The 13786-nt window shown below is 37.7% G+C and overlaps 1 protein-coding gene across 7 annotated transcripts in view, besides 1 other annotated feature; it reads right to left on the reverse strand.

Annotated features, from left to right (window-relative positions):
• OXCT1 (3-oxoacid CoA-transferase 1) overlaps positions 1-13786 on the reverse strand; it is a 140361-nt gene that overhangs the window by 34997 nt on the left and 91578 nt on the right. The window lies entirely within an intron of this gene.
• Positions 10369-10909: an enhancer, noted in NCBI's record as "OCT4-NANOG hESC enhancer chr5:41775532-41776072 (GRCh37/hg19 assembly coordinates)". NCBI's record gives its function as "activates a minimal SCP1, AML or CMV promoter by ChIP-STARR-seq in naive H9 embryonic stem cells {active_cell/tissue: H9 hESC(naive)}" and the evidence as "EXISTENCE:reporter gene assay evidence [ECO:0000049][PMID:30033119]".

Raw genomic sequence — 13786 nt, forward strand, 5'->3', positions numbered from 1 at the left:
CTATTTATACCAGGAGGAAAATAAAACAGGGTTATACAAGGCATACTCCCTGACATAAGCGGGAAATGCATCATCATCCTTCACTCCAGCTTAGCTAGGCATTCTTTTGGGTCCCCACCACTTGCATCTCCCAGATCTCTATTCCAGTTAGGGGTGGCCATGTGCCTGAGTTCCAGACAATGGAAAAAATGGAGGTGACATCTATGATTTTCAGCTCTGGCCTACAAAAATCTCTTTCATGCAGTTCATGTTTTTTCACGTTCTGCAATCTGGACGCTGACATCCAAAGCGACTTTGGAAGATGGCTGAGTTTCCTTCAGCCTTGGTCCTTAAAGGACCATCTGTTGCACAGCCCACTTCTTTGGAACTACATTGCACCATTCAAAATGAGTAAAAAAATAAGTGCACAGGGTGCTAAGCCACTCAAACTGAAGGGTTTATTTGTTACAGAAGCTAGTATGACTAATATATTAAAGTGGTGCCCAAATTATATGGAAGGGTGAGAATTCAGTGTCAAATTAGAACTGTTATAGCTGCACAACAGAAGGGGATCTGAGCAAAGCTCTTAAGGGGACATTTTACTACTGCTCCCTGAGTGAGGTGACTATGTCAGATGCTGTCCTAGGCAGAGTAATTCACCTTTCTATCCAGATGTCCAACACACTGCTTGACATTTTGCAGAGGTAAAACATGATTGCTGAGTGAATAAAATGAGTGAGTGAATGAATGGATGGAAAGAATTTTGAGAAGATGAGAGCACTACAAGTTAAGTGAATAGCTGAACAGGGGAATATAGAGTCCACCCCCATCCCTCATCTTCATCCCCAAAATTCAACATCCTAATTCAACATACAGAACAAGAAGCTGATAAAATGGGGAGATTAAGGAGCTAAAAATATATCTTTAAATAAGTCACAGAGGGAAAGTGATACTTGGGGAAAATAGGCCTATAATGAAGAAGAGCTTCTGGGAATGATTGAAGCATTGGGCCAGCATGACACAAAGTATGGCTTTCTTTAAAATCTCATCAGCAAACATACATTTCTTAAAGGATGCAACTCTAGTTCTGAAATGCGTTCTGGCTAGCATAATGGAGAGATGATTGCTGGATGCTCATTTCATAGCCAACTCATCTTTTTGCTGTTAAGGATTGACCCTGATAGCAAGTATGGAAAGATTCTGCAATAAAATGAGCTAGCAATGCCGCATGCTCCATCACAACAGTTATACAACCTTTCTAAAGATACTGATTCAAGTATCCTCAATTCACAAGTATTTACTCAGAATCTATTATAAACCAGGCACCAAGATAGGAATTAGAAATAAAAGATGAATATGATGATCCACTTTTTTCTAGAAAATAGATTTAAGCTGAAATCAATAATTTCACCTATTTTGATCCTATTTCCTAATACTAGAATTTTAAAGAAAGTAAGAGAAAAACTATTATAAATTCAGTAACATTAAAAAGTCAACACATCAAAGTATCAATATTACATTGTACTCCAAAAAAAAAAAAAAACAACAACAACAACAGGAATTCAAGTTGTAAACATGATCTTTGGTGATATTTTAAGGATTTTACAAAAAGGAAAAATGAATGCATTTGAATGGTTCTGTGAAATGCTGTTTAAAATAAAGTACAAAACACACTGAAAATCATTCTTGCCGTTACCTTTATCATTAGTACATAAACAGTAATGGCTCATTTCCAGATGTTACCTCTAAATATTCTGGTCTTAAGTGAGAAACAATTTATAATATATAGAAACAATTTTAAAAGCATTTTAAAGTAATGCTATATGCCATAGTAGAAAGTGTGAATCTATTGGAAGTCAAAGGGAAAGATCATTGTAGAATGATTTATTAATAAAACTAGCTCTTACTGCTCAATATTAAATACCAGAACATTAAGTACCCACCTCAATCCAAATGTAAGCCTCTTTATATCTGTCTTCCCCATTATTAAAAAATGCTCTAGAAAAGAAATAGTCCTCTAAGCATGCTCCTAGCTAAAGAGTAGGAGAGAGGAAAACTGAGAAAGATAACATTAATTTAAACATATAGTAACAGGTTATAAACACCTTTCTCTAGGAAAAATAAGAGACTTAAAATTTGCCTTAGTATAGCAGTTATAGCACAGTTACATGAGAATATTTCTCTTTTCTGTGTTACACTTTCTTTTAAAAAACCAAAAAAAGTTATTTTCAAAGATTAATGGCATTTTCTAGGACAGGTGAATTGATTATGTAAACCAACTAATATGGAACGAGAAATATAATTATATTCTCTATTGTTAGGTTAGCAAAATTACTTACAATAAAAATCAGTTATCAATCATTATAAGGGCTTTTCAAAAAAGCATGTCAAAAGAGCAGTATTCTGATAAACTCAAATTTTTATTTTAATAAGCTCTCTTGTTCCTGTTCTCTCAGGGATGCTCTATGTCATCAATTAGCCCCATTGCTCCAGTTTCTCCATCCTCTCTCCATGGCTCCTCTCTGCTAATTCCCTGGAGAGAGAAAATCTTGTTTCTGCTTGACTGTGCCCTTGAAGTGAGAACTCTACTCAGTCACGTCTCTAATAGTTAATCATCTGATTGAGTAGACACCTTGTGGTGTCTACTATATATCTATCTAGTATCTAATATATATGTGTGTGTATATATATATATATATATATATATATATAGTGTCTACTATATATCTGTCTACATTCCTATATCTATCTACTGCATATCACAGTGTCTTCCATTCACTCCTTGAAATCCTCCACTTAGGGGCTTCTATGGTCCTGGTTCCTCCTACTGCTATTGAGGCTTTCAGTTTTCTACCTAGCATCCTTTTTCCCAGAACACTTTATATGTTGGCCAAATTAACAGCTCTGTCCTCAGCTCTTGCCTACTTGTTCTCCAAGAGTGACTCCATCTAGTTTCATCATATGAACTGCCCCTGTCTCTGATGAGTCCTAAAACCACATTTCCAGCTAAGGTCTTTGCTGCAAGTTTCAGACTTCGATATCCAAAAGTGTCCCTGTCACCCTGTGGCACATCCTGTTAACTGATTCCCAAAATTGTTCCTTTATTCCTGAGCTCATAGTTAGGCTACATTTTCCAGCCTTCCTTGAAGTTACAATTGGTCACATGGAATAAGTTCTGGACAATGGAAAGTGAAAGTGATGTATACTACTTCCAGGTCTGGACCATAAAACCTTGCAAGAACAATCCTCCACATTCTTCTACCTTCCGCAAACTACAAGTTGAAAATGGTGGAGCTGTAGGATGGAAGGAATCTCAATCCCTGAATTACTGCACAGAAGAGAGCTGCCTGACAATTAGGGATACTCATTTGGTTCTAGGTGAATGAGAAATAAAAACTTCTGTTATATTAATACATGCCTCAGCTCAATATGATCCAAACTAAATTAAGTATCTTCATAAAGGCAAATCTCACCCACCTGCAAATTTCCTGGCTCAGTTAATGGCCAATCATCCACCTCAAGATCCAAATCAGAAACCTCCTTGTCTCCTGCCTCTCCCTCATAACCCACATCCAATCAGTCGCTCAACTACTAAGAACTCCACTTCTCCCAACATTTCTTGAGCTTGACCTTTTCTCATCCTAGCTAAGATTCCCATGATTTCTCCCTAAAGAGTTATAGTAGTCTCCTTACTGGTCAACATGTGTCCAGCTTTGTCCCTCTCTGTCCAACTTGCAGCCACAAAAACCGCCTCTCTAAAATGCGCATCTGAATACGTTGCTCCTCTGCATAAAACCCTTCAGCGCTTCAGGGTAAAGTCCAAGCACCTCAGCCTGGCATTCAAGGTCTGTAATAACCTGGACCCTCCCCTCTTCATTTCCTCACACCCCAGTTCCCATTTCCATGCCAGGAATAGTGAGTTGCTTGTACATAGCATATGGCTCCCACATGCCTTGAGGTTTCTCCTTCATACTATGAAGTGAGCTCCGGCTTATTCTTTATGTATCAATCATGATGACTTCTCTCAGGAAGTGTTCACAGACCTCTGTCCCACGCTATCCACATGATTATTTTAGGAACCTCTCACAGCATACTTGCATATTCCCATTTTAAAATTTACCACATTATCAGCTTTAAGATCAGGGCTGATGTTGTAGTGGCAGGTAGTGACAAGGCCATACAAGTAGTTATGATCTCTCCCTTATGAGACACCTCCCTTCTCTCTAACCACCCTTCCCCCCAAAATTTAATAATTAAAAACACAATAGGGAGCCTCCAAGACCCCATGCAGCTATGACTACCAGTGCTCACATCTGTTCTCAAATCTGTTCTGATTTCTCACATCTGTTCTGATTAATCAGTGCCTGTGCCTTACCACCTAATCAAGACCACCTGTCACAGGGCCAGGTGTGGTAGCTCACACCTGTAATCTGGACATTTTAGAGGCTGGGGTAGGAGGATCACTTAAGCCCGGGAGTTTAAGACCAGCCTGGGCAATATAGAAAGACCCTATCTCTACCAAAAAAAAAAAAAAAAAAAGTCACTAGATGGGATGATGTGTGCCTGTGGTCCCAGCTACTCGAGAAGCTGAGGCAGGAAAATCACTTGAGCCCAGCAAATCAAGGCCATGCTGAGCAGCCACTGGACTCCAACCTGGTCGACAGAGAGAAACCGTGACTCAAGTAAAAAAAAAATCACCTATCACAGATGTAGGATATCATCTTGCTTATTATTATTACTATTATTATTTTTGAGACAGAGTCTTGCTGTGTTGCCCAGGTTGGGGTACAGTGGCAGGATCTCCGCCTCCTGGATTCAAGTGATTCTTGTGCCTGAGCCTCCCAAGTAGCTGGGGTTACAGGCACGCGCCCACCATGCCCCACTAATTTTTTTATTTTTAATAGAGACGGGGTTTCACCATGTTGGTCAGGCTGGTCTCGAACTCCTGACCTCAGGTGATCCGCCTGCCTTGGCCTCCCAAAGTGTTGGGATTACAGGCGTGAGCCACCACGCCCAGCCCTTGCTCATTAGACTATGAGCCCTTTGCCTTCCCTGTTCACCTTCAACCCAGTGCAGTTGCTAATACATGATAGCTTGTTTTCACTATGTATTTAAGTAAACTGAATTCCATCTTCAAGTTTGTTTCTAAAAAATACAGAATCAAAAAGATATTAAGGTGTACTAATGAGAGTAATCAAAGCTAGGGACATTACCTACAGAGAAAATGATAGCAAGAAGAAAAAAAGAGGTGGCTAAAATAAAATGTAAAATTAAAACTTCACCTCAGGAAGTTGCAAAGCTATAGAGAAGAAAATATGGTGTCCTTCAAAATTGACCCTACTAAGGACATTTTTTAAATATCTTCTTCAGGGCTGAATGTTAAATAAATGTTATTTAATACATATCTGAACTACACTGAATTTGCTTTTTCAAGTGGGGAGAAAAATCATTTATAAGACACCCAAGGAAAAGTCCTAAGAAACTGGATACCCCAACTATTAATCATTAATTAAGCATCTACTTAATACCTGTTAGGTGTTCTGTGCTTTTCACTAAGCATACAAAACTCCTGCTTTTAATAGCTTATAGGTCTTGAATGCCCTCTCAATGTTTCTGAGGCCAAATTAAATAAAAAATGCAAATTCTAAAATCCTAAAACTACCACTTCTGTTTTCTTTCAAATATTCACAAAGGGTAAAATCCATTTTTATAAATTCCACTATAATAAATATAACTAACAGAACCACTGATGTGTATCAATTCAAAATGATTTTATGATAATTGTATACATTAGATTTGATAAATGTGCTATTTTCTGACTCCAGGCAGAATATTTGAAAATAAAAAATTACTTTACAGAAACTATCTATACTAGTTCATACCAGAAACTATACCAAAACCACATCAAGTTTCTCTAACACATTGTCTATTGCAAATGAACCTGAACAAACAAAAATGTAAGTGAAACTCACTTTATTACCATGATCAGAGTCTTCATTCATCTATTGTAAGATAGTCCAGACAAACCACTTTATGCAGGTTAGAAAATGTCACAAATGTAATAGGTTTGATTCTTAAAGAAATCAATTAACTTCAAATAAGAAAAATGAGTTCTGTTCCTAGCTATTAATTACACCAATTTCTCTCATTTTGTAAAATGTAAATACCATTCAAGAGGGTCTCCATAGTTCACTTATGAAACCTCATTGCTCCAAGAAAAAATTCCAATGCATACAAAATTGTCATTAATTATACAAGGTAATTAACTCCATCTCTGTATAAGAAATTAATAAGTATTTATTAAGTGAACAGTTAGAACTATGAAACCAATGTATTTTCTCTTCTCAAGGTACAATCAATGTGTGACAAAGTTTTTTTTGTTGTTATTAAGGCACTTTGGATTGGTTAAGCTCTTTGTATAAGGTCACATAGACTAACACTCTGATCTATTTGTTAGATTTTGAAAATGGACAGCAAGAGAAAAACGTACTCCTAGCTCTGTTCTGAAGCTGCAGTTGCAGTTTTCATAGAGTCTATTCATAATACTACAGAGATGAAAACAAACATCAGACAATATGGCTAAGTGAATTCAGCTTGTTTTATCAGGCCTCTTACAGAAGGCATTGATGGAAAGAGCATGACCAAGTGTTTCAGGATAAATAAAAAGGTACTCTAAGTTATTTGAGTTTATTGAATATAGCTAAGCACTGGAGCTTCTGGGCCTGTATACTACCCAGAAACAGAATAAATTACATATTTAAAAATCCAGGGATAAGTTATTTTCTTCCTTCCACTGAATCGCTGAGAGAAATGCATTAGAATCATATGAAATTGCTCACATAGGAGCATGTATGACCTGCAAATACAGGAATTTCATATGGTTGGTTCAACCTATGTTCTAATGGTGAGGTTTAAATGGTCACAATTACTATCACATAATTTTTTAAAGGTTTATACTTTTAGGAGGTCTCCAATAGTCATTACAAAATAGGAAACTAAAATACAAATGGAAAAACATCATTTATGTGTCTGCATGTACTAAAATATATTAATCTCCTCAACAACTCGTTCACATGGAATATGGAATTATTACTATTTATTTTGTCATCAGGAAATACTTGTTCTCAGAAAGTTTATTTTCTGATTCCTCAAAGAGGATGTGGGTTGGTTGGGGAGAAGGGGGAGGGAATGAGAACTAGAACCATGGGCAGCACATACTTGCTCCATCACCTCCTCCCACTGTCTGCAAAGCTCTAAGAGCACAATTAGACTTAATGTAATTACACCGCCATCACTGACAGGTGGATGAGATTAAAAAAAACAAAAAAAAAAAGAGAGAGAGAGTGACTGAAAGAACATTAATAAATTGAAATCATTACCAGTGTTTTTTTCCACAATAGAAAGGATCAGAAAGTAACACAGAAGATAAATTTTAAAGGTTAAAAAAAAAGCAGTTAAGAGCAATTGCAAAAGATCATGCTATGTATAATAAATGTACGTGCCCTATTAAGCAAGTATTATAGGACTGGGTGGAAGAATACAAAGTATTTTGATTCTACATTAAATTAATAACTACTGTTTATCTCAAGATGTCCTCTGGATTCAGTTGATGACCCCGTTTAATGACTGCTTAAGTACCTACTGGGAATTAATAGCTATGACATTCACAGCAAATTGATAACTCTGTGTTGGAGTCTTAATTTGTTCTCCTGTGCAAGCCTTACTCTGTGAAATAGGAACCCAGTGCTTTTCATATGTGGAGGCAAGTCTAACCACCGGTTTGCTAAGAATGCACACCCTACTCTCAGGACAAGGAGAACCATGGGCCTCCTAGGTAACATCATTCCACACAGACTCAGTGCATGGAATGAGTCTCAGGTCTGAGTCCCAAAAGGGAAAAGCACATCCTCCTTGTGAGAATGACCCATCTCTGGAGGCAACAGAGAATGCTGAAGCACAATGTCACTCTGGGAGGGTCCTATCATCACAGGCAGGAAAAACACAGTTTCTCCTTTCAACACCAAAACCAGTTAAAAGAACGACTTTGGGCGATTTGCCACAAAGTTAATATTTTTGAAAGATATAACAGGAGATTCAAAGAGCATTAATTTCTACCTTATCTTTTTAAGTCAACAGTGCCAGGCAATCTATAAGATGGGGGAAAAAAAGTGATGTGTCTTTAGAGCAAAGTAATAGTGAAACAAAAGCTTTGGTGAAGAACTTGGTAGTGCAGAAATCAAACTATTGAGAACAGCTGGGCATGGTGGCTCAAGCCTGCAATCTCAGCAATTTGGGAGGCCAAGGCAGGCAGATCACTGAAGCCCAGGAGTTCAAGACTAGCCTGGGCAACATGGTAAAACCCTGTCTCTACGAAAAAAAAAAAAAAGAAAAAAGAAAAAAAAATTAATTAGCTGGGTGTGGTTGCATGCACCTGTAGTATGAGCTACTTGGGAGGCTGAAGTGGGAGGATCACCTGAGCCCAGGAGGTCAAGGCTGCACTGAGTCATGACTGCACCAACCAACGCACTCCAGCCTGGGCTACAGAGTGAGACCTTATCCCTTCGCAACCCGCCCACCCCCACCCCTCTGCCAAAAAAAAATGAAAAACTGAGAATAGAATAGAAAATTGTTTTCAAAGTGAAATACAAAGAAAGATCAGAAGAGGTAAAAAGCATATATAGGAATATACAAACTTTAACTCATTTCTTGATAGGCCAATGTTTCAACTCCCTGAATTTCATAGGAGACCTTTTAAATTTCTGATCTTGATGGTTTCAGTAACGTTGACCATTCATAATATCAGATATGAATGTTAAATGTGTGAAAAAACAGTGTTTTAAAATCCCTGTGAATAAAAACCCTAGTTACTTCCATTTCATTTTATAGGGACCTAAGTTAAGGTACATGTTAAAGCTAGTACATTCTCAGATGAGAAGCAGGAGTTACAGTAAGTGAGAGGACTTTATTCCTTTTACAACATTACTATATAGCTATATGACAGATATGACCTCAGTCACATTCATCTGGAACTCAAGTGTGGCAAAATACTTGGTGGTGAGGTGTAATTGCTAAAATGTCACTATTTTTAATCCTAAGAATGCCATTTTCTAGGTCTGGTATTTGGAAGAAAACACATTCTGTTGATACCACCTTGAGACCGTTATTCAGTAAGGAGTTACTTTTTTCCTCTATCCTTAGGAAAATGGTCTAAAATGGAAAGTTGTTTATTATTTAAAACTGCATGAGCATGGGTTAATATGTGTGCATATATTACATAGCTCTGTCCATTGAGAAGGGCTAGAAGCAATGATAGCCCAGTAGCAACAAGCACACCTAGCACCCAGATCTTGGTTTTCTATATGTCGTTCTCTTATTAGAGAATTAGCTTTTGAAGAAAAAGTTGACTCTAGGGGCACAAGAAATATAAGATGAGCATCTTGTAGTAGCAGAAAGTAAGGAAGTGCTCAATGAAAAACAAAAAGAATGGAAGGACAACAAAGGGGTAGACCAGCAAACCTGAAAGAGCTCCCAATGGCTATGGCTGGAACAATGTGAGCATAAAAATAAACACAGGGCCAGGCACAGTGGCTCATGCCTGTAATCCCAGCACTCTGGGAAGTGGAGGCAGGTGGATCACGAGGTCAGGAGATCGAGAGCATCCTGGCTAACACGGTAAAACCCCATCTCTACTCAAAATACAAAAAATTAGCCGGGCGTGGCGGCATGCACCTGTAGCCCAGGCTACTAGGGAGGCTGAGGCAGGAGAATCGTTTGAACCCAGGAGGTGGAGGTTGCAGTGAGCCAAGATCACGCCACTGCACTCCAGCCTGGGTGACAGAGTGAAACTCTGTCTCAAAAAATAAAATAAATAAATAAGTGAATAAATAAATAACATAAACATGGTATTGTATTACAACCAAAATATAAAACATACTTGAGAACATATTGATATAAACATATGATTAAATAAATGGGAGAGAAGAGACAAATCTTCTCTCCAGAAGAATTGCAAAATACATAATACTTCTTCAACTGTTTATACTCAACACTTCTGACATCAAATATGTGGGGTTTTTCCTTACACCACCCAATTCTGTAACCAGCTGAGTGCCCAACAATTCAACTCACTTCTGACCCTAACTACCTGGAATTAGCACAGGACCCACAAGTTAAGGATTCAGTCTTACAAAACTGCTCCCCATTTCAAACCCTGATAGCAAGTCCAGGCCACCAGTACCTCTGACGAACCAGCTATAAAGTCAAGAGGTTTCTACAACCCCCGCTCAGCTTCAATAATTTGCTATAACAGCTCATAGGATTCAGGAAGGCATTTTACTTGCTATTATTGGTTTATTATGAAGGATACAACTAAGGAATGGCCCAATGGAAGAGATGTATAGGGCAAGGTTTGAGGGCAGGAGCACAGAGCTTCCATGCTGTATGCAGGTATGCCACTCTCCCAGAGCCCTGATGTGTTCAGCAACCCAGAAGCACTTAGAATCCTGTCGTTCAGGGGTTTTTATGGACATTTCATTACATAGGCATGATTAAGTCATTGGCCATTGGTGACTGAACTCAATCTCCAGACCCTCTCTCCTTCCTAGAGATTGTGTGTGGGGCTGAACTTTCCAACCCTCTAATCATGTCTTGGTCTGTCTGGCAAACAGCTCCATATTGAAGCTACTTAAGGGCCCACTGAGAGTCACATTAGCGTAAATTCAGGTATGGTTGAAAGGGGCTTATTATGAATAACAAAATGCTCCTATGGCCCTATCGCTCAGGAAATTCCAAACATTTTAGAAGCTCAGTGTCAGGAACTGGGGATCAAAGACAAAATATATTCCTTATCACAGTTTCCCTCCAAGAGGTAGAGCTTAATCCCCCTCCAGATCTTTGAGGGTGGACTAGGTACTAAATTGCTTCCACAGAGAACGAAGTAGGGAAGGGAAAAACTAGTAATTTTATATAGTGAGCAAACCTGGTAAGCACTACCTTCACCAAGTGATAAAGATTATCATCATGAGGGATGCAATGTAGGTATCCTATAACCCCTGATATAAGAAGGGCACTCTACTTCTATGATATTCTTTCTAAAAACCCATAACCCACATCTAATTATGAGAAAAACATCAGACAAATCCAGATTGGGGGACATTCTATATGACATCCAGTTAATACTTCAAGACTGACAAAGTTACGAAAAACAAGGAAAGACTGAGAAACTGGCACAGATCAGAGAAGGCTAGGGAGCTATGACAACTAAAAGCAATGCAGTACCCTGAACTGGATCTTGGAAAACTGGGTGGGGGGAATATGGAAACTCTGTACTATCTCTGTAGCTTTTCTGTGAATCTAAACTAATTTTAATTTTTACAACAAAAAATTTATTTAAAAAACTCAGTATGTGGCCTGTTCCTGTGTTTTTTTGTTTTTCATCAAAATGAAAACAAAATGGTTCTCAGATTTCCCTCAGTAAGGAGCAATCCTAGTAACTCTTTAAGCCTGTTGCTAAACGGCTTTGCAAAATCTGACTCAGAAAACAAGTGAATTTGAGAAAGTCAAATGAATCTGTGCTTTGTTCAACAATGATTTACTTTCTTGTAGTAACTGAACTTTATTTCTTTGCAGAATCCAACATTTACCAGAACAGAGTATGCTAGCATAACAAAGTCATGAGTTAGTCTCTGAATAAATAAGATAAATCTAAGAACGGCATGTGTGGGATTTTTGTTTTTATTCCCAATGGAAAAAACTTTACTATCCAATTCATTATGTTGATAAGCCTATCTTGCTGCTAGACATCTTAGATTCTGATAGAGCTTTGGAAAAAAAAATCATACACATCATTAGAACTTTATAAAACGATGTTCTTTGACCATATTGTTACCAGTGTGAGAAAATTGGAAATACAGACTGGACCTCTGTTCTATGACAAATGATGTACCATTTCTATTTTTTAATATTCTTATTTTTCTTGTTATGATCTACTTTGTTCATACTGAACATATTTTAATCAACTCAATTATATAAAGATAGTCCTCATCACCTAAAATGTGCTTGTAGAATGTGTAACAAGCTCTCCTTTACAAAAAAGGGGCCGGGTGCGGTGGCTTATGCCTGTAATCCCAGCACTTTGGGAGGGTGAGGTGGGTGGATCATGAGGTCAGGAGTTCGAGACCAGCCTGACCAACATGGTCAAACCCCGTCCCTACTAAAAATACAATTATTAGCCGGGCATGGTGGCATATGCCTGTAATGCCAGCTACTTAGGAGGCTGAGGCAGAAGAATTGCTTGAACCCGAGAGGTGGAGGTTGCAGTGAGCCGAGATCGTGCCACTGCACTCCAGCCTGGGCGACAAAGTGAGACTCTGTCTTAAAAAAAACCGTTCAATGAAGAAAAGCTAAATACATCACCTGAAGTCACAGAACAAGTCAGAAAAAAAACTGGCTGAAGTCTTTTCCCCAGCCTCCAGAAAGAGGTAATCGAATCCCCATAAAAGATGCTTCCTATTTTAAAATGTCCATTATGTTGAACTTATTGCACTATTTTTCTTTCTTATTGTTCCTAATCTGTTGGATGGTGTTAATTAATTTTGTTAAGAAGCACACAGCAAGCCTAGAGATGTCCTATGTACAATTTCTAAAAATACAGTCAGATCTTTCAGGACTAAAGTTACAAAGCTTTCCAATGTGCTTCTAAATAAACCATTCATCTTTTGCCAAACTGAAAGCCATGATTTATAAAAATTAAGTTTCCTAAAAACTACATGATTGTAAGCAGAAGTTACATTCAGGATGGAATTATGTTAGCAGATAAAGTTTCTAAGTGTTAATAAGTTTGTTTTCATGAAGTTATGGCAGTAAAAAAGAAAAATTTTGCCTTTTAATACAGCCATTTTTGTAATATTTGTGGATTAATTTTTCAGGGTCTGGTTATTTAGATCTGTCCTAGGCTACAATCATAATCCAGAAATATGCCAAACAGATAGTGAATGGCTAAAACATGTACTTGAGTCAAAGCTTATGAGGAGTCTGTGTCAGGCCTTCATGCAGAAGCTATTTACTTTAATTATGCACAAATGTAAAAAGATGGATTATCTAATTTTCTATTCATAACTATATTTAGAAATTGGTACTTACATAGCTAAATTTGGATAATGTAAAAAAGTTACAGATGGAATATCTTATTATCTAAAAATTTTCTATAAATCAAGTATTAGTACAAATACTCCAATGATCTACTAGAGCTATCAAATAGTAATATGGGTAGTGTTGAATTGACTGGAAACAAAGTTAAAAACTCTGCGTTTTACTTAAAATAATTCCACTACACTGGTTAAGAGGGGAGAGAGAACGGTAAATGTAAAATACTGATGATTTTGCCTGGCATTCAGTTTAGAGAGAAGAGGTCTGGAGATGGAAAACGCATGTTCACTCAGTCCCAATCCCATATTGCTTTCATAATGTGAATTTATCAAGATGACTCTAGGGTTTAAGGATATATGTCACATGTCATATGACCCCCAAATAAAAGCCAACTGCTCTATCTGGACCTTAACAATAACCATGATCATCTGTTCCAATGCTGATACCCATCTCAGCTGCTAGTATGATCGAGTGCTGCAAGTTCTTCAACAATGCCCCACCACATGCATTAGACAGGTAAGGAATGCACACAAGCTAGAAGCGGTCAATGTATCATTTCTGCAAGTAATAAAAGCACTTAAGGTTCTCTTTTTATTCTGAGTATAAATTTAATTGTATTCCTCAAGCTTTGACACAAAGTTCTTAGTTTTTATTAGTTTCT

This window comes from Homo sapiens, chromosome 5 (assembly GCF_000001405.40).
Source record: "Homo sapiens chromosome 5, GRCh38.p14 Primary Assembly".
NCBI classification, from domain to species: domain Eukaryota; kingdom Metazoa; phylum Chordata; class Mammalia; order Primates; family Hominidae; genus Homo; species Homo sapiens.